This window comes from Homo sapiens, chromosome 1 (genome assembly GCF_000001405.40).
Source record: "Homo sapiens chromosome 1, GRCh38.p14 Primary Assembly".
In the NCBI taxonomy this organism is placed as follows: domain Eukaryota; kingdom Metazoa; phylum Chordata; class Mammalia; order Primates; family Hominidae; genus Homo; species Homo sapiens.
Genome location: NC_000001.11, coordinates 159,926,960 through 159,954,447, shown reverse-complemented (window position 1 = coordinate 159,954,447; position 27,488 = coordinate 159,926,960). Strand labels below are relative to the sequence as shown.

Here is a 27,488-nt window from a genome sequence, read left to right as displayed (position 1 = left end):
GTAGGAAGTCTTGAAAGACTTCATTTAGGAAGTGGGATTTGGGCTGAGTTTGGTGGATGGCATCATGAGTCAGTGAGTAAACTGTCATGACAATCAGGATCTGAAAGAGAACTAAGAGAGCCATGATACATAGGGAGGGGCTTAGTGAGGACAGAGGACGTCAGAGGGCTGTAGTCAGGGGAAAATTATTTCCCTTTTCTCAGGACCATCAGTCAGGCTCTTTGTGTCTAGGAGCCTCCTAATGCAGTCTTCTGCACAGTCCTGGGGACTGACTGACTGAATCACACCTCTGGGGCTGGGGGCTGCTGACATGTGTGCCTTTCCTTGGCTGCTTCTTCTCCTGCTGCTCCAGGAGGGTGAGTGAAGCTGCCAGCTCGTGCACAGGAATGTCCCCTACACCTCTGTTCCCCTGCCCCACTGGGTCTGGGCCAGTAAGACCCTTTCTTAGGGGTTGAATGTGTCAGCTCTTCTGGAGTTACAAGGAGTAGGGTGTGTGGCTTCAGGGCAGGACCGAGAGACACCTGGGGATATGGAAGAAAGAGCAATCCCAAGATGGCAAAGGAGAAGGTAAAACTTGGAGGGTGAAGGGACAGATGGAAGCAAACTCCTTTTAGGTGCTTAACTCAGGGAAAGGGGAAATCTAGAGTCAGAAGCAGCAGCTGGAGAACAGGATTTAGTGTGAGAGTCATAGAAGCTGCCCAGCTGAGATTACGCTACTCTGGCAGCTCCACTGCCAGGTTCAGCAGCCCAGAGACAGCAGCTGGGTTGTTTGCTTCTCTTTTCTTCCTGCATAGGCAGCCAAAGGAGACTCTGGAGATGGTGTGGATCCGAGGAAGTGGTTGCGGTCCTTCAGGAGTCCATCAGCCTCCCCCTGGAAATACCACCAGATGAAGAGGTTGAGAACATCATCTGGTCCTCTCACAAAAGTCTTGCCACTGTGGTGCCAGGGAAAGAGGGACATCCAGCTACCATCATGGTGACCAATCCACACTACCAGGGCCAAGTGAGCTTCCTGGACCCCAGCTATTCCCTGCATATCAGCAATCTGAGCTGGGAGGATTCAGGGCTTTACCAAGCTCAAGTCAACCTGAGAACATCCCAGATCTCTACCATGCAGCAGTACAATATATGTGTCTACCGTGAGTTTAGGCTGGGAACCATAAAGCTGGTTTTGGGGGCTCTTCTGAGCTTCTCACACCATGGAGTGGGCGTCTCAGGACTTGGGGTTATGGTTTGAGGGGCTAGAACTGGAGGCAGACTGTCTCCAATCTAGATACTGTGATTGAGTGTGCCCAATCCACCTGTTGTATCTGAACCGCAGCAACAGGCGGAGTGACCTGGAGCAAGGAGGCTGTCCGATGCAGTGGCAGGGATCAGGGGCTTCATGTACAGATCCTGTAGGGGGCTTTTCTCTTCCAGTGAAATTGTGTTCTGGGGATGAACACCACCTACATTCTTGAGCCTTTTATTTCCCTGTGTGATGAGGGCTACTAATGAGTATCTTCTCTTTACTTGAACCCAAATTTCTTCTTAGTGTCTGTCACACTGCATCTACCTTGAAGCTTGAAGGGACACTGATTAAAATGTAAATGCCCCTGAGAGGGGCGATAATATTTCATGGGATCAAGGAGACAGAATGGGGTTTGGAGGAAGGTAGAGTACAAAAGTAAGAGAGAGAATACGTAAAGGGGAGGTGGAAGATGCCAAAGGCAGCTCTGTCTTCCTTGACAGTTGCCTTGGGGACCTTGAAACCACAGGTTTTATGGTGGTTGGGTTTGTTTGCTTTTGCCTATTTGTTGTTTAGGTGCAGGGGCTGTCAAGGGGTAGCATTAGTACCCCAGGTTTGAGGAGCTTAGGAAAACAGACCCGATCCCTGATTGTTTAGAGGGTCTTTGTGTTTCCCCTTCATCCAGGATGGCTGTCAGAGCCCCAGATCACTGTGAACTTTGAGAGTTCTGGGGAAGGTGCCTGCAGTATGTCCCTGGTGTGCTCTGTGGAGAAGGCAGGCATGGATATGACCTACAGCTGGCTCTCCCGGGGGGATAGCACTTATACATTCCATGAAGGCCCTGTCCTCAGCACATCCTGGAGGCCGGGGGACAGTGCCCTCTCCTACACCTGCAGAGCCAACAACCCCATCAGCAACGTCAGTTCTTGCCCCATCCCTGATGGGCCCTTCTATGCAGGTACCAGAACCCCTGAGACACCCCCTGAGCTCATGAAAGATAGTGCCTAGAGGCACCATCTCCCTCCCCCAGCTCTTCCCAAGAGAGCCCAGGGAATTCAGAAGCTAACCCCCTCCCATGGAGGCTTGACACCTGGATTGGAGAGGAGACCCTCCGTTTTTCTAGTGCCCCCAACTTCCAAAGGTCTTTTCTTTTCTCTTGCTTGGCTTCAGAATGATTCCTAGATCTCAGTTCCTGAGCTTCTGTGCATAGAATATATTTCCAGAGACACTTGCAAGGGGACTTCAACTGATTGTGAACTTGAGACCCCTTCATGAAATTTGGGTAGGAGTCTGCCCAAATCTTAACCCCAACCCTACCACTGATGGGCCCTTTCCTCCTTTCTTCCACCCCAGATCCTAACTATGCTTCTGAGAAGCCTTCAACAGCCTTCTGCCTCCTGGCCAAGGGATTGCTCATCTTCTTGCTCTTGGTAATTCTGGCCATGGGACTCTGGGTCATCCGAGTCCAGAAAAGACACAAAATGCCAAGGATGAAGAAACTCATGAGAAACAGAATGAAATTGAGGAAGGAGGCAAAGCCTGGCTCCAGCCCTGCCTGACTGCTCCTTGGGAACCCCAGTCCTGAGCTTGGTTTCTTCCCAGCACCCAGAGAATCCTTCCTCAGCTCTCTTCTTTCCAGGGGAAGGAGGTGCTCAGGGGTGGGTATCCAGAGAGCCATACTTCTGAGGGAAGACTGGCTGGCAATAAAGTCAAATTAAGTGACCACAACTCTGCAGGAGCTGTGTTGGGTCCTTCCGTCCTCACTGGGTGGCTCTGGCAAAACCCACTCTGCTGTCTTTGCCCCAACTCCCAGTGCCTTCCCCCAAGTCCACGTGCTTTTTCAGGCCCTCCTTTGGGGAGAAGAGTGGGTCTAAAGGGCCCCCTCACAGGGAAGTTTTGGTATGCTGTCACTCACCACCTATCCCGTTTTCCACCAACATGCTTGCTATTTGTTCATCAGATAAGAAATGTGAGAGATTTCTTTGAACCTAACTGAACCTGTGACTTGAGAATTTCAGGCATTTTGAATCCTGCATAAAAGTGGCCTTATTCCTGTTAAGATTCTTCTGCTCCCTTACCCCACTCTCATCCTGGCAGATACATTTGCTTAACAACTCCATCCATCCCAGACTAGTCTAGAAGCTCTCCTAAATAGGGAGGTAGGAAGGACCTCATTCAGACCTACCCTGGGTCTGAGTTGAGCTCGCAACCTCTCCGTCATCTCCCTGATGCCAGTTGCTCTGGGCCTCTGGCGTCTACCCCATAGGGATGCTGGATTATTAGCCGAGATCGTGGAGCCTTGACTTCTGCTTGTGATTAGTATTACTGTCCTGCCTGTGTCCCTGCCTATAGATTTCCATGTCTTAGGCCTTCTCTTTGGAGTCTTGTCCTGGGTTAATGCCCACCCCCAACTCCCTGGCAAAGGCCCTTAAGTTTATGTTCTTGCTCTTTCCCTAGACCAATGATCAGCCTCCCAGGCCTAATGTGTCCCTGCCCAAGTCTCTAGTATTCCCTCCAAATCAGATCTTGTGGATGTTACTTATGCAGTTGCCATGGGGCAGGGGGTTAGGGGGAAGCGAGGACTGGGGAGAGAATTAGAAAACACCCAATTGACAGGACAGGTGTACGCAGTGGGTGAATTGCAGGAAGTGGTGAAGGCTGTGATGTATGGCTGGGAGCCTAGGTGACATTTTGGAGCTCTGGGCTTTGATCTGCTACTCGCCTCTGGCCTGTGACCCTGTGTTCAGCAAACTTCCATTGAGCCACAGCCTCTTTCTCCAAGAAGTGCACACTGGAAGAGAGAAGCAGGCAGAGAGGCAGCTTGGAGCTCCTACAGAGACACAGTTAGGCAAGCGACTTGGTGCCACAGAGACAGGGTGGGTTGGGGGCCCTGGGGAGTTTCAGAAGAGGTGTCTGAAGGGTGGGGAGAGGGCCGCATGGCAGGAGGCATGCCTAACATTGCTGTGGGTCTCTTCTTCCTCTTTGTTTTTGAGGGGGAGGATGCTGATCTCCAAAGTATCTTCTAAAAAAGGAACAAGAAGTATGTGCAGGGGTCAGTGGAATGCATTCAACTGGGCAACCAATGAGACCAAGGATACCTTCCTTTTAGGAAAGTAGAACACATGGGCTGGCACAGGACCACCCAGGAGGAGAGTCTTGAGAGCGGCGTGGGGCAGGGCTGGAAGCCAAGAGTAGGGGTCTCCCTAGGTATTTGTGCAGGAGATGGAGCCCCTTGGGGCTTGGGAAGGAGGTAGTAAGGTTGGGAAACCAGCCCCAAGAGCTCCTAGTGCTGGTAAACTGGTCCCCTCTACTTTCTGAGGGCCTGAACCCTTGTCCCTCTGGAAGGCAGTCCCTTCTTGAGGCTGGTTCTCTGGGCTTCCCTTAGGCCCTGAGCAGTCTTGCTTCCAAAAAAGGCCAGCAGCCCCCAATCCCTTTGATTCCTTTTATATCTTTCCTAGGAGGCACCACTGCAGGGATGGGGACTGACTGGAAAGGCCACCTTGAGTCCATCTTGCACATAAAGAGGCAGCTCATTTCTCATGTTATTGCAGGATTGAATTCATAGAAAGTAAACAAAAGGATGAATAAATAAAGGAATGAATGTATGATAGGCCCAGGGATTTCCCTGGAAGTTGGCAAAGTTCCTTCTTCTTACAGCCGATCTCTGAGCAGAGAAGGGTTGAGGCCTCAAAAGAGGCCGAGCTTCTGGAAGAGGAAGGATGAGATCTTAAAGAAAGTTGAATATAAACTCAGAGAGGCACAAGCCGCTACCTCTGCAATATGCCAGGAACTTGGCAAGCACTGGGGAGGCAGAAGAGACACCTCTGCCTTCAAGGAATGTTTTGTGGAGTGTGTAAAGATACAATAACAAGGTAGGAAAAGGGCTGGGGTGAAGGTGAGGGCGTGGTGGGAAAAGTCACGGAATGTGTCCTGAAGGGAACAGATCAACAGAAATTTGACCTGTGGCCAGCAGTGAGTCTGGAAAGGAGAAAAGGGCATTCTATCGAGACAGAAGCTAAGTGCTAAGACACTGGTATGTGAAAGAGCACAGTAGTTCTAAGGCCTGCAAAGTCATGCACACTGCGATAAAGGGATAAGTGAGAAACCAGGCTGGAAAAGTAAGCAGGGCCTTTCTGAAGCAGGAATTCAAAGACAAACAGGACAATATCCACACCCTTGTGGGGCTAAGTGTTTCATTGGGATAGAAGATAGGCACACAAAAAGTTAAATGACAATATATGAGAAACCGCACTTCTTTACGGATCTGGTAATAAGACTGCTGCTTACAGGCATGTGGTCAACAGAGTCCCTGGATGACAATCTTTTCTTTTCTTTTTTAACTCAGATATAACTTAATATATGCCTGATTAACAACATCCCTATTATCGATTATTAAAGCCACCCTTTCTATTCTAGAATATGGGATAGTTATGTGGTGCTTAATTGGTACAAGCAATGTTAACACATCAAATGTGGTCACTACTAAAAGCCCATGTGTTCCACCTTTCAGGGTTCATTTGATATCAAGTAATTCTCTGCTTATCTATAGACAATGAGAAACTTTGCTGATTAGGAACACCTGTGCTTAACGATGCCAAGCAGACATCTCTGAGGTCACACCATCTTCTTTGTGCAGGGCTATGGAGCAGCTCAGGTCCTTTCTTCCCAAGGCCTGCTGAAATATTAGGTATACACCAGGAAGACAGAACCAATAAGATAGATAGATACAGATATAGAAATATGAGATGGGATTTATTAGGGGAATTGGCTTACATGATGGTGGAGGCCAAGTCCTACAACATGCACAAAGAAGGCCCTGGGATGGCAAAAGTGTGGCTCAGTCCAACTCCAAAAGCCTCACAACCAGGGAGGCCAATGGTATAACTCACAGTCCCAAGTCTGGAGAGCCTGGAGTTTTGATGTTCAAAGGCAAGAGGAGGAGAATACCCCAGCTCTGAGAGACAGAGAGAGAGACAGAGAGAGAAAAGAAGAAGAAGGAGAAGGAGGAGGAGGAGGAGGAGGAGGAGGAGGAAAAGCAGCAGCAGAGGAGGAGGAGGAGAAGGAGGAGGAGGAGGAAAGAGGAAAGAAGAAAGCAGGAGAAGGAGAAGAAGGAGGAAGAAGAGGAGGAGGAGGAGGAGGGGGAGAGAGAGAATATTTTCTGATATCCTTGTCAGCAATTTGAAAATATGGGGGCTGCCTGATACTTAGGTTAGGTGGAATCCTCGTTGGTTGAATAAGCTTTCCCAGAGAGTAATGACTATGAATCAAGGACAACCTAGAGGAAAGTCTTTTGTTTTGAACCTCAGGGACTATTTTTTAAATCAGCTTTCACTCCTGGCACAGTGAGGGAACAAGTTATAGGGCTAGGTTCCTTTTCTTAACAAAAAATCTCCAATATACATATAAATCAGACAAAAAATGGCAATAACAATAAAAGTCACAAAATAAGTTTCCAGAAAAAAAAGGCCATATCATAAACTTTTAAAAATTGAAAACCATTTTAAATGTCATTTAACAGAAAGTTATTTTAATGTCTAAATGAGATTAGTTTATCCTCAAGAAACCACTGGAGACAGCAGTTTAGATCAAAGGTGTGGCCAATTCTAACAGCGGGGAGGGAGATCCTTCCCAATGATTGGTAAAGATCCAAAGACTAAAAAACACTTGGCTCGGCCGGGGGCAGTGGCTCACACCTGTAATCCCAGCATTTTGGGAGGCCGAGGTGGGTGGATCATGAGGTCAGGAGTTCAAGACCAGCCTGGTCAAGATGGTGAAACCCCATCTCTACTAAAAATACAAAAATTAGCCAGGCATGGTGGTGGCCGCCTGTAATCACAGCTGCTTGGGAGGCTGAAGCAGGAGAATCGCTTGAACCCGGGAGGTGGAGGTTGCAGTGAGCCGAGATTGCACCACTGCACTCCAGCCTGGGCGATAGAGTGAGACTCTGTCAAAACAAAAAAACAAACAAACAAAAAACCCGCTTCACTCTTTTACCATTTCTTCTAGCCTTGCTTCCATGCTGCATTCATTAACATGTTTCCATTATAGTCTTATCAATAGATCAGGGTATTATGTTGAAATGCATTGTTGAAAAGCTGCTACTTTGGGACTATTTGCAGGAGGGATGGTGGGAGAGACTGGCCCACTGCTCCTGCCTCTTCCCTTCCATCTCAGTCACCCAAAAGCACTAAAACCTTTACACCTGGAAGAACTGTCCAGCAGGCAGAGCTTACTAAGGATGGAATGGGTACAACAGTAGTGCTGAGCTTCCTGGCCCAGGATGTAATGAGATAGGGGCTTGGATGACTACATGGAGAAATGATGTGCCAGGGATTCTGGGGCCAAGTAGTGCTTAGGCCCATCCTGGAGGTTCTCTCATGATGCTGCAGCAGTGATTCTGTGAGTCTGATGCCTGGTGCACTCAGTTTGAGTCTTAGTACTTCGGATTGGGATGAGATCAGCACGTTGCTTTCATGGAAGGCTTCCAAGGGAGCCAACTGAATGGGAAGGACCTGGACAGGCAATGTTGCTTAAGCCGACCCAGCATCCCTACAGCATCACCAGGCTGAGGAGGTGGAATCTCTGAGGGGCAAGATATGCAAGATATCTTTGTGTCTGAGGGCGAAGCCTCCAAGGGAGTAGGTTTGATGAAGTTTGGGTTGGGTCTCAATCCAGCTCTGCCATAACCTAGTTGGGAAAGCTTGGGCCAAGTTACTTCATCTCCCTGAGCCTCAGTTTTCTCATTAGTCAAAGGGAGCTCTACTTACTTCGCAGGGTTTCTGTGAAGGTTACACAAGAGTTATAAAGCATCTAGTCCAGGGTCTGGCACCCTGCATGGGTCCAGTAAGTGATCTTGTATTTCATTCCTCCCTTTCAATCTCCCGTGTCAGGATATCTGTCGTTTCTCCCCTCTGGGCCTGTTTCTCTGGGTCGTTGGTGCCAGAGCTGCCTTGGGAGCTGACTTGGCAACCCCACGCTCAGAGCACAGCCTTCCTCAGCTGCACACGGTGGGAGGCGCCTGGGCAAGATTTGGGAGCTCGCCAATGCAGACAGGTATTTCCAGTCCTGCTAGAGAAGCAATGGGTGGAGGTAGAAATGGGGATGGGGGAGGAGATCGGATGAGCCCGGGACCTGGGTGGATCCCCTGGGAGGAGGGCGGGGAGTCATGCTCCCCGCCTGGTTCTCCTACCCCCAGGCTCAGATTTCAACCCTCGCTGCCGCCTCTGTGGCGCGCCCGTTCGGGGAGCGGAGAGGGTCGCCCGTAGGTTCCGAAAGAAGGACGGCGTACCAGTAGCCTGGCAAGGGGCCAGCTCCCGCAGCCCTGGAGCGCGAGCCGGACCCTGCTGCCCCTCTTGCTGGCGGCGGGAAGCGGCCCACCGGCCTTTCCACGCTTGGCTGTGCAGAGGTCCACGAGGGGGCGACCTGAGCCCACGTGCAGCCGAGCTCTTCCCTCCTGAAACTACAACTCCCAGGCCGCTCAGGGGTCCCGCCCGCCTCGCCGTGCCTCTGGCGGCTCCAATTGGCCGCCGCGGGAGGGGGATTGGCGGTCTCCAGGGCGACGGGAGGCGCTCGGGGCATCCGAGGCGGGGAGGCGGGTCCGCCCCCTATTGTGTAGCGGCGAGAGTGGAGCCGAGCGGTGCGGAGCAGGTGAGGGAGGGGGCGTACTGGAGGTATAGAAGTGGTGGTGCTGGTAGTGCGGAGTTATGGGGGACAGGAGAAAGCGGGGAGTTCTAGAGAGAAGTGGAATTCGTTGCAGGAGTAGAACTAGGGGAGTTCTGGGGAGTGAAGTGGAATTCTTGGCGGGTGGGTGGGAGTTCCCGGAGAACTGCAGGAGTTCTGGAGGCAATGTGGGGGAGTTCTTGGTGGGTTCTAAGAGAAAGGAGGAGTTCCAGGGGACCAGAGAATGCGAGGGAGAAAGGAATTGTTGGGGGTGGGGTATCAGAATTGTATTGTGGGCTGATGCAGGAGAATCCCAGGGAGGGGAATTATCGGGAGGAGAGGATGGGGAGAAGTGGCTGGGGGGTGGGGAGACCAGAAGGGAGTTCTTTATAGTGCAGGAGACCTGCTGCAATTGGAGATCAGGTGCGAGAAGCTGGAATTGTGGGGGGATTGTGCGTAGTAGCGATAACTGGGAAGGGAGTAATGGGAGGACGAGGGAGTGGTGTGTGGGGAGACTAGAAGGGTGAGGAAATAGTGGAGGCCGGGGGAGTTGGAAAGATATTAAGAGACTGGGAGGAATTCTAGGGATGCCTAGTTACTCAGAGTCTCGGAAAACAACCAGGAGAGAACTAGGGGGTTCCTATATACTTGGAAAAAGGTTTTTCAGGGAAGTGTGGGAGAGCTGCCTGGAGGCAGTGGGAAACAGGGGGCTTGGTTGCTAGTGAATTGCCAGAAGTTAGACATACAGGATCATTAAGTAGAGGCAAGGATCAGACTCTGTGGAGGATGTTTTATAGTCTGTCCTGAACTTTGCGGCCAAGAGTGGGTTGGAGGACTCAGAGCAGAGTCCACTTGGCAGTGCCAGGCCCTGGCATGGACCCTCTGGCTCTCTGAGACTGCCCTAGGATCTGTGGGGCTGTCAGAAGCTCCTACCCTCCATGCCCCAGGGTTAATTTTGTACACTTCAGGGACTCACAGGCTTTTTTTTGGACCATGCCTCTGGGGTTGGGGAAGAAAGAGCTTGACAAACCCTGGCACCCCGAAGATATTGGAGGGGAGTGAGTGGGAGGGATTTGGGTGAGGTCCTTGGGTGGTGGTGCCTGGCAGGGGGAGGGCTGCTTGGCAGTATCGTGAGGAAGTGGCGCCAGCTGCCAGCCCCGGGACCTGTCCAGACCTGGAGGATGCTGCCTGGATCCCCCATACTGGCAGGTGGGGGAGGCAGCTCCTCCTCTCCCAAGTGCCTGACTCACTCACTGCCAAAGCAGTGTAGGGAGACTGAATGGAGAAAGGCCTCGGGTCCTCAGCTTCCAGAGTTTTTCATAGAGGCTGGGGAAATGGGACAAGGGATTGTATCGGGGTGTCCTGGGGACCACTTTCTGAGGCTTAAGCGCCCTGGATTTGCCCTTGACTGGCTCTCTGCCCCTGAGCAGATATCCTCAGGGCCCTTATTTGTCACAGAGGGGTGAAGGCGACAGCACTGGTTCCATCTTGCTGCTATACCTTGTGAGCATCAAGAGTAAGGAAAGAAGCGAGAGCAGCCTAGGCCATGAGAGTCTTGATCTACCATACTTCCTTCAAAAATATTTTTCCAAGCATATGAGGAACCCCAGTTCTCTTCTGGCTTAGTTTTTCAAGACCCTCAGAATGCAGGCATCCCCAGAATCCTTCCACATTTCCTAAGACCTTCCCAACTCTCCCAGCCTCCCCCATTTCCTCACCTTTCTAGTATCTGCATTCAGCACTCACCATTCTCCCAGTACTCCTACCCCTGCTCTTACTCCCCAGGGCTTCAAGATCCCCCCCTTCCCCCTACCCCTCACTTAACTACACTCCTCCCTCCTTTCTCTTCCCAGTGCCTTTCTCTAATGGTGGGGTTTCTTCTGGGCTCCAGTATTGGCCAACTCTGCATGTTGCCTTGTACTTTTCATTTAGATCTGGTGGTTCTCCGGAGAGCAGCTTCCTCGGGTGTTACATGAGCCAAGCCCTCACTGTACAGAAGAGTGAGAGCTGAAACCTGTTCCCTGAGCTGATCAGAAGGACATCCCTTGGCCCCTCCATCTGGGCTCCTGTGGATAGGAGGGGCTGGGTGAGCAGGCCAGCTGGGCTATGGTGTGGTGCCTCGGCCTGGCCGTCCTCAGCCTGGTCATCAGCCAGGGGGCTGACGGTAAGCTGAGCTCTTGGGCTCAAGAATGCCCTGTTAGCCTTGGGGTGGGTATGGGGGTGTTCCTCAAGGGTTCCTCTTTGAGCATGTGAGGGCAGGGGAGGAATAGGGCTGGTTCTGGAGAAGCTGAACTGGGGGTTTCTCCAGTCACCCAAAGTCCTAAGGTGCCTACAGAGATACTGATGGCACTCCCCCTCCCAGCACTGACCCTAGCCCCCCGTTGTGCCCTCATGCCACCCATCATGCAGGTCGAGGGAAGCCTGAGGTGGTATCGGTGGTGGGCCGGGCTGGGGAGAGTGTGGTGCTGGGCTGTGACCTGCTGCCCCCGGCCGGCCGGCCCCCCCTGCATGTCATCGAGTGGCTGCGCTTTGGATTCCTGCTTCCCATCTTCATCCAGTTCGGCCTCTACTCTCCCCGAATTGACCCTGATTACGTGGGTAAGAGTTCTCCTCAGGTGGGAGGTAGGGAGGTATCAGCAAGAAAGGTGGGCTGGGTAGAGTCGCACAAGGCCTCCTATGAACGGCTTTGTCCCTGCTCTGATCTCATCTCCAGCTCTGCTGCCTTAACTCTGCTTAATAAGCATGGCTGTGCTCCCAAGCAGTGTTAATTCATTGAAAGATTCATTCATTTACACACACACACACACACACACACACTCACACTCTTATAGCTGTGCTATTTAGGACTCCACGTGGTCTGTTCCAAAGGAGATCCTGCAGCCCTATTCCAAATATCCATTCTAATTCTGTAACTGCTTTTTCTACATCTCATCATGAAACCTCCCAGACTTCATCCTGATCTGTAGTCTCCCCTCTTGGCCCTGCCTTGGTCCTGGCTCTACTATCTGCTCACTCCTCTGCGCTCTCCCCCTTCCTCATCGTCTTAAATGCTAGTTCAGGGGTTCAAGTCTTCTAGGGAGTGGGCTGATGGGGCAGCAGGGTAGGTGCGGCTGTGACCTCTCTGCTTTTCCAGGGACACTCAGTCTGCTTCTGAGTAGAGAAGCACAGGTGTACAGAGAGGGTGGCTGGGGAGGGCCCAGGATCCCCAAAGGTCAGTGACTGGATGGGGCTGGCCTGGGTTGCTGCTTTAGGTGGCACCTGTTGGGACTTAAAATCGTGTGTAGCCTCCCTGGGCGCCTTCTGCTGCACCCCAGCTGGCTCCCTAGAATGGCTACAATGGCTCTGCTTCCTCCTAATCCCGGATGGAGCCTTAATCTAAGCGGTTTAGTGCCAGGTCTCAGAGGGCAGTCTGCAGGAGGCCCTAAGGACAGGTCTGGGCTATGGGGCGAGAGAGAGTCTTGTTGCCTCCTCTTCAGAGGGGAGACCCAGGAAAGGCCACCTGGGAGGATGTTGATGGGGAGACCCCCACCTTTTCCCTCTTTAGTTTGAATCCTGAGGGAAACCCCGGGATTGGCTGAGCCTTGCCACAGGGCGGGCTGAGCAGAGAGGGGAGGAGGTGCAGGCAGGTGATGCAGAAGGGAAGTTTCTTTTCAAACTGGGGGCAGTTATTGGCAAACAGCCTGGTGGGAGTGTATGTGTCTACACAAGCCCTGTGGGAATGGATGAAAGCGGGCCCCAATTAGCACCAGTGGAGAAAAAAACGGCTGTGCCCACCAGCCCTCCCTCCCTGCCTCCGCCTGCCCAGGCCTGGGAGGGGTCTCGGGCTGCCGGGCTGAGGCTGGACAGATTCATAATGTTGCCTGACTGAGGGCAAGGCAAGGGGAGGTGGAAGAGGGAGGGGCTTTTCCTGGGACTCCACCAGGGAGACTTGAAGCTCTTCCTTCTCTCCAGCTTGTGTCCTGCCTTGAGGTCCCTCAGGCCTGAAGCCACTGGATGGTTAGCAACTTTGTCTACCTGTGGGTCTTCTGTCTGTGCTGTTGCTTGAGCTACAGGGGCTGTGAGCAGTAGCCTCTGGGACTTACTGTCTGCTCCTATCCTTTGTTCACACCCCTACCTCCGTCTGGAGCTCTTGGTCAGGCCAGAGCCGGCTGAGGGAGTTGGGACCTGAGGGAGGCCCCTGAGCCCATTAACCCTTTTACTGCCTCACAGTGTGGAAGGGGCCTCTCAGCCTTTGTGTAGGGGACTCGGAACTGCAGTTGCTAAGCAACAGGAGGTAGAGGTTGCTAAGGACAATGCTCTTCTGTCATAAGCCCTCTGGGCAGTGAAGGGGAGATGGGTCGGGGACTGTTGTGGGGCTGGTGGCCTAGAATGTGTGCGGAACCCTGAGAGAGACTGTTGGATTAGGGACCACACAGAAGGGAAGGCTTCCCATCTTTGAGGACTCTAGAAGCATCTAGTAGAGGAGACTGGATTTATCAACGATGCCATGGAGTGAAAGCAATATAAAACAAGCTAGGACTAAAGAGGAGGATTCAGTTAGCTGCTGTGTGTAAAGCGCCCCAGCCTGTGCCTGCACAGTGCCTGTGTGGTGTGAACCCATGACCAGGCCTCTGGAGGGAAGGAAGGTTAGGCTTAGTGGACACCAGCTTTCCTAAGGTGGGTCTTAGACCAACTCATTAAAATGGCAGGATGGGCTTTTGTGCTGTATTTCTTGGGATTTTCAAGATGCCCCACACAGCAGAAGGGATGTGCATTTTTTTCTCTGCCCTGAGTTGTTTGATAAAAATCAGTGACCTCGTTCTCCACTTAGAACTCCCCTGCTTGCTCTAGTCACCTCCCCTCACCACCTTTTATTCTTAATCCTCTGCCCAGTCACAGCTTCCCAGAAGCCTTCCTTACTCCTCTTGCTTCATAGTGCAATGTCTGGGCGCAGTTAGCACCATTTTTTGAACTTCTTTGTGGATGTGTGGACGTGAACTTGCCCATTTAGGTGACTGTGGGTTCCCTGCCTTCCGAGAGCTTAAGAGAGCAGAGACTGTGTCTCCTGTTTTCTTCACACGCCGCTGCATATGGGAAGATCTGAAGTCAACAGGCTTTAGCCCTGCAGGTGGAGGGAGGCCTCCAGGAGGTGGGCCCAGGACTCAGGAGGACTCAGGGCTGCCCTGCTGGCGATCTTCCTGTTCTGTAACACTACAGGTCTAGCAGTCCAGCTGTCACAGAAAAGCTAGGACATGCAGTATGCTTCTTTGGATATTCTGAGTAACATTTGGACTGTTACCCATTGGCTACCAGCATCTCCCAAGTGAGAATACATAGATTACCCCCAGTGCCCTGAACAGCACTCGGTCCTAACACCCGTGTCCATGGAAAGCACGCCGCGTCTGGAGAAAGAAGCCTGGCTTTGTCACTTACTAGCCATGTGATTTTGGAAAGAAACTTAACATTAATTCCTTCAGCTACAATGGAATTCTTGGGAGGATTAAATATGGTGACAACGCCTAATATTAGATGGCCTGTATTCCACACTCAATCTTCCTTCCCTCTTCTTCCTTCTTTGTAGAGCTATAATGAAAAGTATCATGTGGGACACAGAAGAGGTTGCAGTCTGGGGTCTGCAGGGCTTAGCGGCCAGGCAGATTAGCTTTCTTGAGGAATCCTGACAGTGGGTGGAAGGGTATGATGATGTTAAATATTTACCCGCTGGGCCTAGTCTTATCTCCGGGGTGGGGATTTCAACACCTAGCCCTTTAAGCAGGTCCACCCATCCTAGAGAATCCACACCCTGGAACTCATTCTAAGTAGAAAAAGACTCTTGGCTAAGATCACAAAGCCTGCCTCAACTTGATCCTTCTCTTCTTTCTGAAATAGATTTTCTTATTTCTGAAACAGATCACTCTAGAGGTAGAATGGAAGCAAACTGGAGGGGCTGAGCACTTTCACAGCTTCAGAATTTCTAGCATTAGGAAGAGCTGGAGTGGACACTATGCAAAGGGACTTGGAGCTGCATTTGCAAACAACATAAGATTAAGAAAATGCAGCCAGGCACAGTGACTCACAGCTTAATCCCAGCGCTTTGGGAGGCTGAGGCAGGAGGATCCCTTGAGGCCATGAGTTTGAAACCAGCCTGGGCAACATAGCAAGACCCCTCTCTTCAAAAATTAAACAATTAGCCAGGCATGGTGACACGTGCTTGTACTACTAGCTACTTGAGAGGCTGAGGCAAGAGGATCGATTGAGGCCAGGAGTTCGAGGCTGCAGTGAGCTACAATCAAACCACTGTACTCCACCTGGGCAACAGAGTGAGACCCTGTCTCTAAAAAAAAAGAAAGCTCCATTTGTTCATAGCAGAGGTCAAGGTGGGGATGAGCAATGTGATGTAGAGGGGAGGAGGCTGGAGGCAGGGAGACTGGCAAGTAGGCTGTTGGAGAAACCCAGGTGAGACATGCCACAGGTGTAAAGGTGAGGACAGCAGAGAAGGGGAAATGTTTAGGAGGTAGGATTTGAAAAACCTAATGAGCAAGTAGATATGGGAGGTAATCGAGGAATCTAGGAGATGCCAGGTTCCTGATAAGGTGACTTGGTGTGTGGTGGTGCAGGAAGAGAAAAGGAAGGTGACGTGTGATCAGTTTAGGGACAGGGTCAGGACTTGAGTGCAGCTTTCTGATTTCAAATCTAGAGCTCATTTATTTGTTCAACAACTTTTATTTGAGCATCCACTGATGCCAGGCACCATGCTACATGCCTTCCCTACATTATTTCTCTCCTCCACCCCACCCCAATTTTGTTTCTTTCTCTTCTTTTTACAGATGAGGAAACTGAAATTGAGAGAGGTTAAGTAACTTGCCCAAAAGAGTACACAGTCGAGCTGGACTCATGCCTAGGTCTATCTGGCTCCCAAGTGTGTGCTTGTATCACGAGGCTACACTGCCAGGGACCCATGAAGCTGTCTGGGGTGCATAGTTGCATCCAGGGAGGGTGCTGAGGGCTTGGGTAGGCACCCTCGGTCTGAGCCTGGCAGTGTGGTGTGGATGCTGACTAAGAGTGGGATTGAGGTGTCTGGTTGTGCTGTGGTTGTGTGGCTTTGTGGAAGTGTATGTGATCAGCCAGCTGGGACTGGAGTGCCCCGGGGCATGGAGAGGATAGGGCGAGGAGGCTGCTGACTTTGCTGCTTGCTGGGCTGGACTCTGGCCACCCTAAGGCGCTTAGGCTGCTGATAATAGCCCTGAGGGATTAGGGGCTTTGGCAGGCGGGGTCTGGGTTCCCCCTGCTAGGGCCTCAAACACTGCTGAGGTTTTCAGGGAAACAGTCCTCTATCAGGAGTACTCCCAGGAGCTCACACCTTCCCCTACATAAAGAGCCCAGAGGTGGACAGATCCTGTAAGAGTCCAGAGGAGACTACATGCTGGCTCTTCACTTCCTTCCCCAACAGTCCTAGACACCGAGTGCAGTTCAGGGGAAGGTTTTGTCCACCTGCTGTCCCCCTAGGTTTCTCTTTGTCTAGACAGGGTCCCAGCTGTCGAATGGCAAGAGTGGTCAGAGGGGCCGAATGGAGGGACCTGTCCTGAATGACCCCAACCTCATCTGCGTCTCTCTGGACCCCACACTCAGAGTAACTGGGAGAGACTGAGCCTGTTCTTACCTCTAAGAATTACCAGTGTGACCAGGGGACTGGGGCTTCCATGGGGTTCCTTCAGCACCCTTGATTCAGGGCTCCTCCCCCAGGACGAGTCCGGCTGCAGAAGGGGGCCTCTCTCCAGATTGAGGGTCTCCGGGTGGAAGACCAGGGCTGGTACGAGTGCCGCGTGTTCTTCCTGGACCAGCACATCCCTGAAGACGATTTTGCTAACGGCTCCTGGGTGCATCTGACAGTCAATTGTATGAAGCTGGGGGGCAGGTGGTGGAGAAGGACGGGGAGGAGGAGGATGGGGATCTCTGGCTGGTGGGAGAAAGGGGAAGAGGGAGTTCTATTTCCATCCCACAAACAGCTCTGATGCCCCACCCTTCCTGAGAGCCCTTGTTTGCTCACTTAGTAGTTGCATCTCACCCCTCCCCCACACTCCTGCCCTTTTCAGTTCTTCAAATATAAATTCAATCAGCCTTCTAGGCTCGGTGTCAGGAACTCCCTCTTTCTCTTCCCTCCTGCTTCCCTGGCCAGGGAAGTGGGTGGGAGAGAGGGGCTCTTGGGCCCTGAGTGAAACACAGCTCACATATATATAGCACCTTGTGTTTTCAAAATACCTTTTCACCCAAGCCCTTATTATTTATCTCTCACTCCTAAGTAGGAAGGAGGTCATAATCATTCCCATTGCATAGGTGAGGCTGAGTCATGCCACTGATTAGTGGCAGAGCAGAGTCTAGGACCCAGGCCTCCTCACTCCCAGAACAGTGCTCCTCCTGAGGGGGCTTGGCTCTCCCCCAGGCTCTGGACATCCAACCTGGGTTCAGCCCCAGGCCAGTGTGTGGGGGTGGGTTGACAGAATCCTCATTTGGCCTGGGTGCAGTAGACAGGGTGGCCCTGGGCTGAGGACTCCTATGAGGCAGGGCTGGTGGGTGGGCAGCAGGCTGGAGCCCTGAGTGGTCTCCCTGGCCCTTGGACACTGCTTTTTGGGCTGACAGCCCCACTGGGGCCCCTGATGCCTGTCTCCCTTGCAGCACCCCCTCAATTCCAGGAGACACCTCCTGCTGTGTTGGAAGTGCAGGAACTGGAGCCTGTGACCCTGCGTTGTGTGGCCCGTGGCAGCCCCCTGCCTCATGTGACGTGGAAGCTCCGAGGAAAGGACCTTGGCCAGGGCCAGGGCCAGGTGCAAGTGAGTCCTGGGGGTGGACAGAGTGAGCCATATAGAGTGTGAAGGGAAGGTGGGGGCCTGGCAGTGGGGCCAGAGGACAGAGGAGGCAAAGGCCAGGCTGGAGGATGGGCCAGAAGAAGGGCTTGGCATTGTTTGCCCCGAGCCTGGGGTGCTGCCTCCCTCTGCTGGCCAAACTCGGAAGTGCAGGATCTGAGGCTGGCAGGGGAAAGGACTCTTCCTCACCCACTCCTTCCCTAGGTGCAGAACGGGACGCTGCGGATCCGCCGGGTAGAGCGAGGCAGCTCTGGGGTCTACACCTGCCAAGCCTCCAGCACTGAGGGCAGCGCCACCCACGCCACCCAGCTGCTAGTGCTAGGTGCTCTCTGGCGGGAGGGCTGGGGTCCAGGGTTACCTATGCAAGGGGGCTGTGACCTGTGGCTGAATTGGTTCACAGCAAGATAGGAGGGAGATTTGTGCCTGAGGGCAGGGCCCGTGGAAGCTAAGGGGGTTCCCAATGCAGGCTGTTGCTCTGAAACCAGCACCTTAATTTTAAAAGGCTCAGTAAGCAGACAAAGCGATCTTAGTGCCCAGTAGTGTGTTATAGTGGAAAGGACATGGGTGCTTGTGTTAGGCTGTGAGCCAGTTAACTCCTTGAGTCCCAGTTTCTTCATCTTTATAAAGAGACTCATCTCTACCTCTCAGGTGTGTTACAAGAATTTACTTAGGTGCAGCTGAGCCCAGTCACTGGCACATGGTAATTCCTGGCCAAGATCCTTCCTTTAGAAGGGAAACTGAGAAGCAGAAGGCCTGGACTGTGCCTTCATAGAGCCTATTATCTTTGTGGGGAAGTGAGACTAATTGGGGAAACAGGGAAGTGTTGCTGTCCGTGGTACTGTAAGAAAGGCAGTGCCGGGTAATGGTTAAAGGTGTCGTCTGTGGCATCAGGAAGCCTAATATGAATGTTGCCTCTCCTGCTGTCCTTGGGCAATCACCTCACAATCTCTCTGCCTCTGAGCCTTCACTTCTTCATCTAGAAAATGGAGACAATTCCCACCACAAAGCTTTTGGTGAGGATTAAACGAGGTCGTGCAGGTAAAGTGCTTAGCACTCAGTGTCCCGCATGCAGTCAGTGCTCTGTTGTGTCAGCTCGCATCATGACCTCTTCTTACTGACTGCTCATGCGGTACCGGCCCAGAGAGGGGAAGGAGTAGTGGAACTGTAGTAGCCAGAGGTGCTTTTGCAGGAGGTATGTGGCGCGGCCAGGCCCTTGGGAGGGGCATTCCAGACCGGGGGTGCAGGGAGCAAAGGCATGGAGATGGGGGACAGCCAGCTGCCCATACTGACCTGAAAGAGTTCATGAGGGCTGACATATGGAAAGATGGCTGGCCACGTAGGGAGGGTTTGGATCGCAGGGGTCCACAGGGCTGGGTTTGAGCTTAGTGTAGTAGGAGCCAGGTGCTGTTGCAGGTTCCTGAGCAGAAGTGTTCTGTGGCTCAAGGGGCTGTTTCTGTATGAATGGCCATTAGAGTGGCAGCTGCAGGGGAGCCTGGAGTCAGGGGCTGCTGCAGCATCTTGAGGTGAGGTATTGGGCACCTGGGTTAGGGCCAGAGACAGAGAAGTAATTCAAGAGGTGACAAGCAGGGATACAAATGGTAAATGAGCAGAGTTAAACTGACTCCCCCAAACACACACACCATTCCTAGGCAGTGGAACTGCATGAATGGAGTTGCTCTTGATGGAACAGAGAGAATTTGGAAAGAAGAATGGGTCTCAGGGAGAGGATGAATTCTTGTTACATACAGGGGGAAGCTTCTGCTTCCACTCCCCAAAGCCCTGTAACAACGAGCCCTAAGATTCCAGAGAGCAGAGCTGGGAAGAGTTGTAGAGGTGACCTCAGGGTTCTGGGAAGACTGTGGGCTGAGGCCACCTTCCTCCCCTTGTGCATCCCACAGGACCCCCAGTCATCGTGGTGCCCCCCAAGAACAGCACAGTCAATGCCTCCCAGGATGTTTCATTGGCCTGCCATGCTGAGGCATACCCTGCTAACCTCACCTACAGCTGGTTCCAGGACAACATCAATGTCTTCCACATTAGGTGGGGTCACCCTCATTAGGAAGGTGGAGGTGGGGAATTCACAAACAGTCTCTGAAGAGCCGCTTGGCTGGGCAAGGCCTGGACCCCTCCTCACACATGCCACATTGCAGCCGCCTGCAGCCCCGGGTGCGGATCCTGGTGGACGGGAGCCTGCGGCTGCTGGCCACCCAGCCTGATGATGCCGGCTGCTACACCTGTGTGCCCAGCAATGGCCTCCTGCATCCACCCTCAGCCTCTGCCTACCTCACTGTGCTCTGTAAGCCTGACCCCAGCTTCTCCCTCAGCCTGCTCCCTTCCCCTGGGCCAGGCCAAGCCCCTCTCCCCCAACTTGCCACTACTTTCCCCCAGACCCAGCCCAGGTGACAGCTATGCCTCCTGAGACACCCCTGCCCATAGGCATGCCGGGGGTGATCCGCTGCCCGGTTCGTGCCAACCCCCCACTGCTCTTTGTCAGCTGGACCAAGGATGGAAAGGCCCTGCAGCTGGACAAGGTACAGGCTTGGGGCAGGGGAAGGAGGGTCTTAGCTTGGCGTTATTCTGCTCAGGACAGCAGGGTGGAGTTAGCTCGGTTTAATTCAGTTCAGTGACTGGGGACACACATCTTTTGTGAATTTAATTTGTGTTATAAGACATGTTGCATAGGAAACTACTTAAAACCCCTGAGGAAAAATTTCCATGGTTTAAAGTGGTGGTTTTGTGTCTTCTTTGGGGAAAGAAGAGAGATGATCTCTGGGGAAAATGATGGCAAAGAGTCAAGAAGGAGAACTGAAGTTTCTTTCGTGTGATGACTGGGAAATTGTGTGTCCCGGGGGAACACACACTTCTTACCAGGTGCTGTGTGGGGTAGTGGGTTGAGGGCAGGGGCAAGGAGGCATCCATCCTTAAAGTGGGCACCATCTGGGCAGAGGACAGCAACACTGTCTGGAAGGCCAGGGATGGAGCTCGTGCCTTCCTCTTAGGGTGGTTGAGGATAGACCAGCAACAGATTCTGGGACTTTGGTGATGGGCCTCAAAGAGGACACAGTCATTCCCTTGCAGAAACCAGGGTCAAGAGGCAGGAAGTAGTATAGTACGTTTATGGAATCATGGATCGTCCAATTGGGTGGGAGCCGGAGTGCCTGCAGGGACATGAATGGTGCAGAGAAAGCTGGAAAGACAGGTTAGCATCAAAAGGAAGAACTGGATGCCAAGTTACTATTGCCTCATTCCAAGGCAATTGGGATCTTTTGTCTGCAGAGACTATAAATTTTTGAGGCCTAGTATTGCATCTTTTCATCATAGTGTACCTGGGGCTTCTACAACAATAGTACTCAGTATATCTTTGTTGAATATTTAAGAAAAAAGTCTACAGGCAGTTGGAGCCACTGGAATTTGTTGAGCATTGGTGTGATAGGATCAGAGCTGTGATCAGGGGTTGAGCTTGCCCAGTGGAATGTAGCGGGAGATACTGGACATAGGAAGAGGGGTTCTGAAGCTGCTGAAATGGCCCAGGTGAGAGTTATGGAGTCTGATTTACAGAGGACATGAAGATGAATGGGCTCATGCTCTGACAAAAGGGACTTCCCAGGATGACTGGCTTAGTGAGTATTTCACCAGGGGGAGTGAGGGAACGTGAGGAGGCAGACTTCAGCAAGAAGGATGGCGGGCCCTTTAATAGAGAAATAGGAGCTGGTTTTGGGTGGAAGACTCTGAACTTAGTTGTGGAGTGCTGGGAAGAGAGCCAGGTGAAGTCCCAGCAGGCAGGAAGCCCCACGCGGCCCAACTACAGGGGTGGCCATTCACAGTGTATTTTCTGTGAGTGGCACCCCCTGGAGTTGTGCAGTCACAGCCTCACACTATTGGGAGGGGTCCCTCTGCAGGAAGGAAAGGAAGCACTGGAAATCAGAGAGGGGTCAGGCCTAGACATGGAGCTGCTGGAGTCTTCTGCACAGCTGTGGGTTTCTCATCCTGCCCCCTCTCTTGTACTGCCATCCCGGGCTTGTCTCTGCTGAGCTCCTCTCTCTAGCTGTCATCTTCTCTTCCTTCCAGTTCCCTGGCTGGTCCCAGGGCACAGAAGGCTCACTGATCATCGCCCTGGGGAACGAGGATGCCCTGGGAGAATACTCCTGCACCCCCTACAACAGTCTTGGTACCGCCGGGCCCTCTCCTGTGACCCGCGTGCTGCTCAAGGTTAGGCCGGGGGTGGGCGGGGGCCTGTGGTGACAGTGGGTCAGATGGCTGGAGATGGTGCTAAGGCCAGGCTGATGGGGGTGGGGTGGGGCAGACACATGGGGAGGGGTTTCCAAGTTTGTTTCCCATGGTGGCCACGGCAGCAGCTGCCTGATGCCATCCCAGAGGTTTCTGCAGAGGTGGTGCTCGGGAGGTGGGACATCAGTCACACACATCCAGAAGTAAGATATCCTGTTTGCCCCAACTCTCACTAACCTTGACCGTGCTGCCTCCCTCTCTGGGGCTCTGGGAGGAAGAATGTTCTGCAGAGGTTTGTACATCTCTGAGAGTCCTGCCTAAGCCTGCCAGCCCTTACTACACCACCATTTTCCTCCAGCCCCTACCCACTGGGGAACAGAAACAGAGCCAGAGAGGAATTGAGAGATGGAGAGAGAATGAGGTAGAGACAGGCTTGGTGAGTGTTTAGCTAGGGGGAGTGAGGGAGAGTGAGGTGAGACATGGCATGACAGGGAGCACAGAGAGAGGGAGTAGCCAGCCTTAGATGTAAGAGAGGGCCCCTCCCAATGCCAGATCTGGCTTGCAGGCTCCCCCAGCTTTTATAGAGCGGCCCAAGGAAGAATATTTCCAAGAAGTAGGGCGGGAGCTGCTCATCCCCTGCTCCGCCCAAGGGGACCCTCCTCCTGTTGTCTCTTGGACCAAGGTAAGGCTCCTGAGCCCGCTCTGCCTGTACCCACGCCCACTACACCCCTGCCTCTCGTGCCCCAGCCATTTTGTGGGAGGGAGGGTGTGGGAAGGAGAAGGCTGTCAGAGGCAGGGTGGGGAGGAACTGGAGCTGCCTGGAGAGATGAGGGGCGCCTTTGGTGAGGGGTGGCTGCGTGTGTCCTCAGGGCTCACCAGTGGTTCTGTAGGTGGGCCGGGGGCTGCAAGGCCAGGCCCAGGTGGACAGCAACAGCAGCCTCATCCTGCGACCATTGACCAAGGAGGCCCACGGGCACTGGGAATGCAGTGCCAGCAATGCTGTGGCCCGAGTGGCCACCTCCACGAACGTCTACGTGCTGGGTTAGTGGCTGGAGAGAGGGCCAGGGGCTGGGAGAAACTACTTGGGAATCGTTTTTGGAGGCCCAGAAAGAGGATCATGGGTGTGGGACCCCTGGGATGATGATGGGTGAAGGTCAGTGGCCCTGGGGCCCCTGCTACTCTGTACACTCCCTCAGGCCCTGACCACCATCCCTCCATTCCCCCCTGCCTAGGCACTAGCCCTCATGTTGTCACCAATGTGTCCGTGGTGGCTTTGCCCAAGGGTGCCAATGTCTCCTGGGAGCCTGGCTTTGATGGTGGTTATCTGCAGAGATTCAGTGTCTGGTACACCCCACTGTGAGTGACCTGCTCCTGCCATTTCTCTGTGCCAATCTTGCCTCCTTTCCTCTCCTCCTTGAACCTATCTGGCCTTCTGCCCTTTCTTCTGTCCCTCTATCCCTCACCAGTCCTGGCTCTGCTTCCCTGTTTCCAGATTCTGAGGCATTCAGGGCCAAGGTCCTGAGACCTTGGATGGTTGAGCAGAGGGGAGGTGGTTAGATCTCTGGACCCCAGATCTTCTGGTCTTCCTAGCTCACGAGGTGCCCCCCATGTCCTCATGTCTCCCAGGGCCAAGCGTCCTGACCGAATGCACCATGACTGGGTGTCCTTGGCAGTGCCTGTGGGGGCTGCTCACCTCCTAGTGCCAGGGCTGCAGCCCCACACCCAGTACCAGTTCAGCGTGCTAGCTCAGAACAAGCTGGGGAGTGGTCCCTTCAGCGAAATCGTCTTGTCTGCTCCGGAAGGTGAGAAGCTTCTCGTCCCAGAACAGCAGAGACAAGGATGGGGAAGGGCTGCTGGGAGAGCTGGGATATGGGAGGCCCTGGGTGGGAAGGGGCAGAGGTGCTGGCCAGCTTGGGGTCCAGAGGGGTGTGTGGAAGATGATTTGAGCTTGTCTTCAGGGGTTCTGGGAGAAGAGTTGGGCACTGGGAGTTGTGGAAGGCCAGGGGAGGGGCGCTGGGAATCCTTGCTCTGACCTGCCTTTCTGTCCCACGCAGGGCTTCCTACCACGCCAGCTGCACCCGGGCTTCCCCCAACAGAGATACCGCCTCCCCTGTCCCCTCCGCGGGGTCTGGTGGCAGTGAGGACACCCCGGGGGGTACTCCTGCATTGGGATCCCCCAGAGCTGGTCCCTAAGAGACTGGATGGCTACGTCTTGGAAGGCCGGCAAGGCTCCCAGGGCTGGGAGGTGCTGGACCCGGCTGTGGCAGGCACAGAAACAGAGCTGCTGGTGCCAGGCCTCATCAAGGTATGTGCGAAAGGCGATACAGAGAGAGGCCTCCTAGGGGCTCTCCTGCGTCCTTCTCCATTCCCCAAACTCTATCTTCTCATCTTGATTTGAGCTCTTCACCTCTGCGTCCTACCTCACCCTTCCGTCCCACGTGCACGGTCTTTCCGCGCCCCGCTGGGTTGGGCGGTGCTGGGCCCTGACCTCCCTCCTGGTACCCCATCCCCATCGCAGGATGTTCTCTACGAGTTCCGCCTCGTGGCCTTCGCGGGCAGCTTCGTCAGCGACCCCAGCAACACGGCCAACGTCTCCACTTCCGGTGAGCACCTGGCGTGAGGGAGGAGCCCCAGGGCTGCTCCGAGTCCACTGACCCTCCCTCGTGGACCCCTGCCTAGGTCTGGAGGTCTACCCTTCGCGCACGCAGCTGCCGGGCCTCCTGCCTCAGCCCGTGCTGGCCGGCGTGGTGGGCGGAGTCTGCTTTCTGGGAGTGGCCGTCCTTGTGAGCATCCTGGCCGGCTGCCTCCTGAACCGGCGCAGGGCTGCCCGCCGCCGCCGCAAGCGCCTCCGCCAAGGTAAGTCCCTCCACCCTCAGCCCTGCTACTGCGCACTTGGGCCTAGCCTCCTTAAGCCCCTCCTACCTGGGGGAAAAGCCCTCGCTCCTGTGTGATCCAGGTGCATTCTCTTAGTCCTGCATCTGGTCCTGCCTACGCTTTTCCCAGCCGGATGGGGTTGGGCGCCTGGTGTTGGGTGAGAGAGTCTCCGCCTAGAGGGCCTTGATTTTTGCCTGTGTCACCTACTATTCTCATGCCCTTCCAGATCCACCTCTTATCTTCTCTCCGACCGGGAAGTCAGCTGCACCGTAAGTGCCTCCACCTCCTTGGCTTTCTTCTGCCTTTCCATTGTACGTGCCAGTATCTTCTGCTTCCTTTTTTGCATCTTTACCAGGGGGATGTTGGGTGTTGGGGAGGAACAAAAGTGGGAGAGGGTAAGAAGGGGTGTGCAGTGGCCCCAGCCTGAGGCCGTTCCAGTATGGCCTGTGCCTTCCCTCCACCCCTCCACCTTGTTGGTCCTTTCCTCGCTTGTTCTTCCTAGCTCTGCTCTGTTGTTCACCAAACCTCTCAAGGCCTGACGCTGGCTCCTGGGAGGGGGACCTGCCCCTACCACAGACCCTGATCTCCTGTCCTTCCCCAGCTCTGCTCTGGGCTCAGGCAGTCCTGACAGCGTGGCGAAGCTGAAGCTCCAGGGATCCCCAGTCCCCAGCCTGCGCCAGAGTCTGCTCTGGGGGGATCCTGCCGGAACTCCCAGCCCCCACCCGGATCCTCCATCTAGCCGGGGACCCTTACCTCTGGAGCCCATTTGCCGGGGCCCAGACGGGCGCTTTGTGATGGGGCCCACTGTGGCGGCCCCCCAGGAAAGGTCAGGCCGGGAGCAGGCAGAACCTCGGACTCCAGCCCAGCGTCTGGCCCGGTCCTTTGACTGTAGCAGCAGCAGCCCCAGTGGGGCACCCCAGCCCCTCTGCATTGAAGACATCAGCCCTGTGGCACCCCCTCCAGCAGCCCCACCCAGTCCCTTGCCAGGTCCTGGACCCCTGCTCCAGTACCTGAGCCTGCCCTTCTTCCGAGAGATGAATGTGGATGGGGACTGGCCCCCGCTTGAGGAGCCCAGCCCTGCTGCACCCCCAGATTACATGGATACCCGGCGCTGTCCCACCTCATCTTTCCTTCGTTCTCCAGAAACCCCTCCTGTATCCCCCAGGGAATCACTTCCTGGGGCTGTGGTAGGGGCTGGGGCCACTGCAGAGCCCCCTTACACAGCCCTGGCTGACTGGACACTGAGGGAGCGGCTGCTGCCAGGCCTTCTCCCTGCTGCCCCTCGAGGCAGCCTCACCAGCCAGAGCAGTGGGCGAGGCAGCGCTTCGTTCCTGCGGCCCCCCTCCACAGCCCCCTCTGCAGGAGGCAGCTACCTCAGCCCTGCTCCAGGAGACACCAGCAGCTGGGCCAGTGGCCCTGAGAGATGGCCCCGAAGGGAGCATGTGGTGACAGTCAGCAAGAGGTGAGAGCAGTCCCTGCCCATCCCTGCCTCCGCCTCAGTCCCACCCCAGACCTCTCACCCCTCTCCCAATACCCTGCACCTTCTCTGCTCCACTCCCACCCTGGGAACGGGAAAACTTGTCCCTTTTAGAAGCTTTTGCTGAGGTCCAGGGATTTTTCAGGGGAAACCCATGACCTAACGTGAGTTTGCGGTCGCTGAATTCAGACTTTTCTGAACAGCCTCTATTCCTCCACCCACACCATATGTTTGTCTTTTTTTTTTTTTTTACAGGAGGAACACATCTGTGGACGAGAACTATGAGTGGGACTCAGAATTCCCTGGGGACATGGAATTGCTGGAGACTTTGCACCTGGGCTTGGCCAGCTCCCGGCTCAGACCTGAAGCTGAGCCAGAGCTAGGTGTGTGAGCCCCCCGGAAAGGCAGGCATCTCGGCCATACTGTCCCACATCCCCCCGCCACCTTAGGACCCATCTATTCCCAGTCAGGCCCTGCCTCCCAGGCTCCTCTGCTCTAGACTGTGCCTTGCCCCCTTGGGCCATCTGTACTGGAAGGGCCTAGCGAGCTTCACATCTGAGCTCTTCACTCAGTGAACCTCAGGGCTTCTTCTCATTGTCCTGCCCGCCTCTTGCAGGTGTGAAGACTCCAGAGGAGGGCTGCCTCCTGAACACTGCCCATGTTACTGGCCCTGAGGCCCGCTGTGCTGCCCTTCGGGAGGAATTCCTGGCCTTCCGCCGCCGCCGAGATGCTACTAGGGCTCGGCTACCAGCCTATCGACAGCCAGTCCCCCACCCCGAACAGGCCACTCTGCTGTGAACATCCCTGATGTGAGGCTGTGAAAAGGCATATGGACCTGCAAAGGAGGCCCCCAACCAGACAGACCTAGTTTCAAACGAGGGCACTGCCCCTGCCTGCCCCTTTGGTGCCCAGGCACAGACCCTGATAGTGGGTTTGGGTCACCTTGGTATGGAATGTATGTGCTGACCCCCTAGGTGAGTCTGGGGATTGGAACAGGGATCTTAGGTCTGCCTCTCTCTCTCTCTCTCTCTCTCTCTCTCTCTCTGTGTGTGTGTGTGTGTGTGTGAAGTTTTTTACAGGTGAATAAACAAAGTTTGAAAGATGTTTCTGTGTGTTATCTGTCTTTGAGAGAGTGCCAGGAAAATCCCTGGACCCTTAAAGAAGAGGAGAATCTTCTTGAATA

General features: G+C 54.0%; 2 protein-coding genes and 1 long non-coding RNA gene across 7 annotated transcripts in view, besides 4 other annotated features; 2 read left to right on the top strand and 1 right to left on the bottom strand.

The window, feature by feature from the left end:
• SLAMF9 (SLAM family member 9) overlaps window positions 1-2,956 on the top strand; it is a 32,493-nt gene extending 29,537 nt beyond the window's left edge. Inside the window, exons 1-4 of one of the 4 annotated variants that reach the window (NM_033438.4) lie at window positions 211-356; window positions 795-1,139; window positions 1,914-2,186; window positions 2,582-2,956. In NM_033438.4, coding sequence (NP_254273.2) covers window positions 311-356; window positions 795-1,139; window positions 1,914-2,186; window positions 2,582-2,787 — 870 coding nt within the window. In that variant the 5' untranslated portion in view covers window positions 211-310 and the 3' untranslated portion in view covers window positions 2,788-2,956. Of the gene's footprint in view, window positions 1-210; window positions 357-794; window positions 1,140-1,913; window positions 2,187-2,581 lie in introns of those variants that run through there. The other 3 variants (XM_017002756.2, NM_001146173.2, NM_001146172.2) reach the window with 3 other exon arrangements.
• On the bottom strand, window positions 786-13,079 carry LOC124904438 (uncharacterized). Its single transcript, XR_007066684.1, has 3 exons — window positions 13,002-13,079; window positions 7,996-8,296; window positions 786-871 (listed from the first exon to the last, which is right to left on the bottom strand). It is a non-coding gene; the product is annotated as an uncharacterized LOC124904438 (long non-coding RNA).
• Window positions 8,212-8,712: an enhancer, noted in NCBI's record as "H3K4me1 hESC enhancer chr1:159915526-159916026 (GRCh37/hg19 assembly coordinates)". NCBI's record gives its function as "activates a minimal SCP1, AML or CMV promoter by ChIP-STARR-seq in naive H9 embryonic stem cells {active_cell/tissue: H9 hESC(naive)}" and the evidence as "EXISTENCE:reporter gene assay evidence [ECO:0000049][PMID:30033119]".
• Window positions 8,212-8,849: a biological region, named in NCBI's record as "Sharpr-MPRA regulatory region 11999".
• Window positions 8,555-8,849: a silencer, noted in NCBI's record as "tiled region #11999; HepG2 Repressive DNase unmatched - State 4:PromP". NCBI's record gives its function as "represses a minimal TATA promoter and a strong SV40 promoter by Sharpr-MPRA in HepG2 cells {active_cell/tissue: HepG2}" and the evidence as "EXISTENCE:reporter gene assay evidence [ECO:0000049][PMID:27701403]".
• Window positions 8,835-27,407, top strand: IGSF9 (immunoglobulin superfamily member 9). Of its 2 annotated transcripts, none has more exons than NM_020789.4 (21): window positions 8,835-8,875; window positions 10,820-11,051; window positions 11,297-11,485; window positions 16,610-16,762; window positions 17,540-17,694; window positions 17,932-18,049; window positions 19,626-19,767; window positions 19,878-20,023; window positions 20,164-20,258; window positions 21,796-21,936; window positions 22,520-22,636; window positions 22,845-22,995; window positions 23,187-23,310; window positions 23,581-23,756; window positions 24,009-24,259; window positions 24,473-24,557; window positions 24,634-24,810; window positions 25,055-25,097; window positions 25,430-26,290; window positions 26,561-26,688; window positions 26,922-27,407. In NM_020789.4, exons 2-21 carry the CDS (start codon window positions 10,994-10,996, stop codon window positions 27,101-27,103), a joined length of 3,492 nt encoding a protein of 1,163 aa, NP_065840.2. In that variant the 5' UTR covers window positions 8,835-8,875; window positions 10,820-10,993; the 3' UTR covers window positions 27,104-27,407. The 2 variants fall into 2 exon arrangements, with proteins under 2 accessions (NP_065840.2, NP_001128522.1); NM_001135050.2 differs by having other exon boundaries at window positions 20,116-20,258.
• Window positions 18,970-19,470: an enhancer, noted in NCBI's record as "H3K4me1 hESC enhancer chr1:159904768-159905268 (GRCh37/hg19 assembly coordinates)". NCBI's record gives its function as "activates a minimal SCP1, AML or CMV promoter by ChIP-STARR-seq in naive H9 embryonic stem cells {active_cell/tissue: H9 hESC(naive)}" and the evidence as "EXISTENCE:reporter gene assay evidence [ECO:0000049][PMID:30033119]".
• Window positions 27,408-27,488: the final 81 nt, after the last annotated feature.

What these genes read in the sequence shown, in the direction of transcription:
- IGSF9 (NM_001135050.2), top strand. Translation starts at nt 10,994, where the DNA reads ATGGTGTGGTGCCTCGGCCTGGCCGTCCTCAGCCTGGTCATCAGCCAG. An exon ending in AGGGCCAGGGCCAGGTGCAA is followed by an intron (nt 17,695 to 17,931) that starts GTGAGTCCTGGG and finishes CTCCTTCCCTAG; the next exon opens with GTGCAGAACGGGACGCTGCG. An exon ending in CCGCAAGCGCCTCCGCCAAG is followed by an intron (nt 24,811 to 25,054) that starts GTAAGTCCCTCC and finishes ATGCCCTTCCAG; the next exon opens with ATCCACCTCTTATCTTCTCT.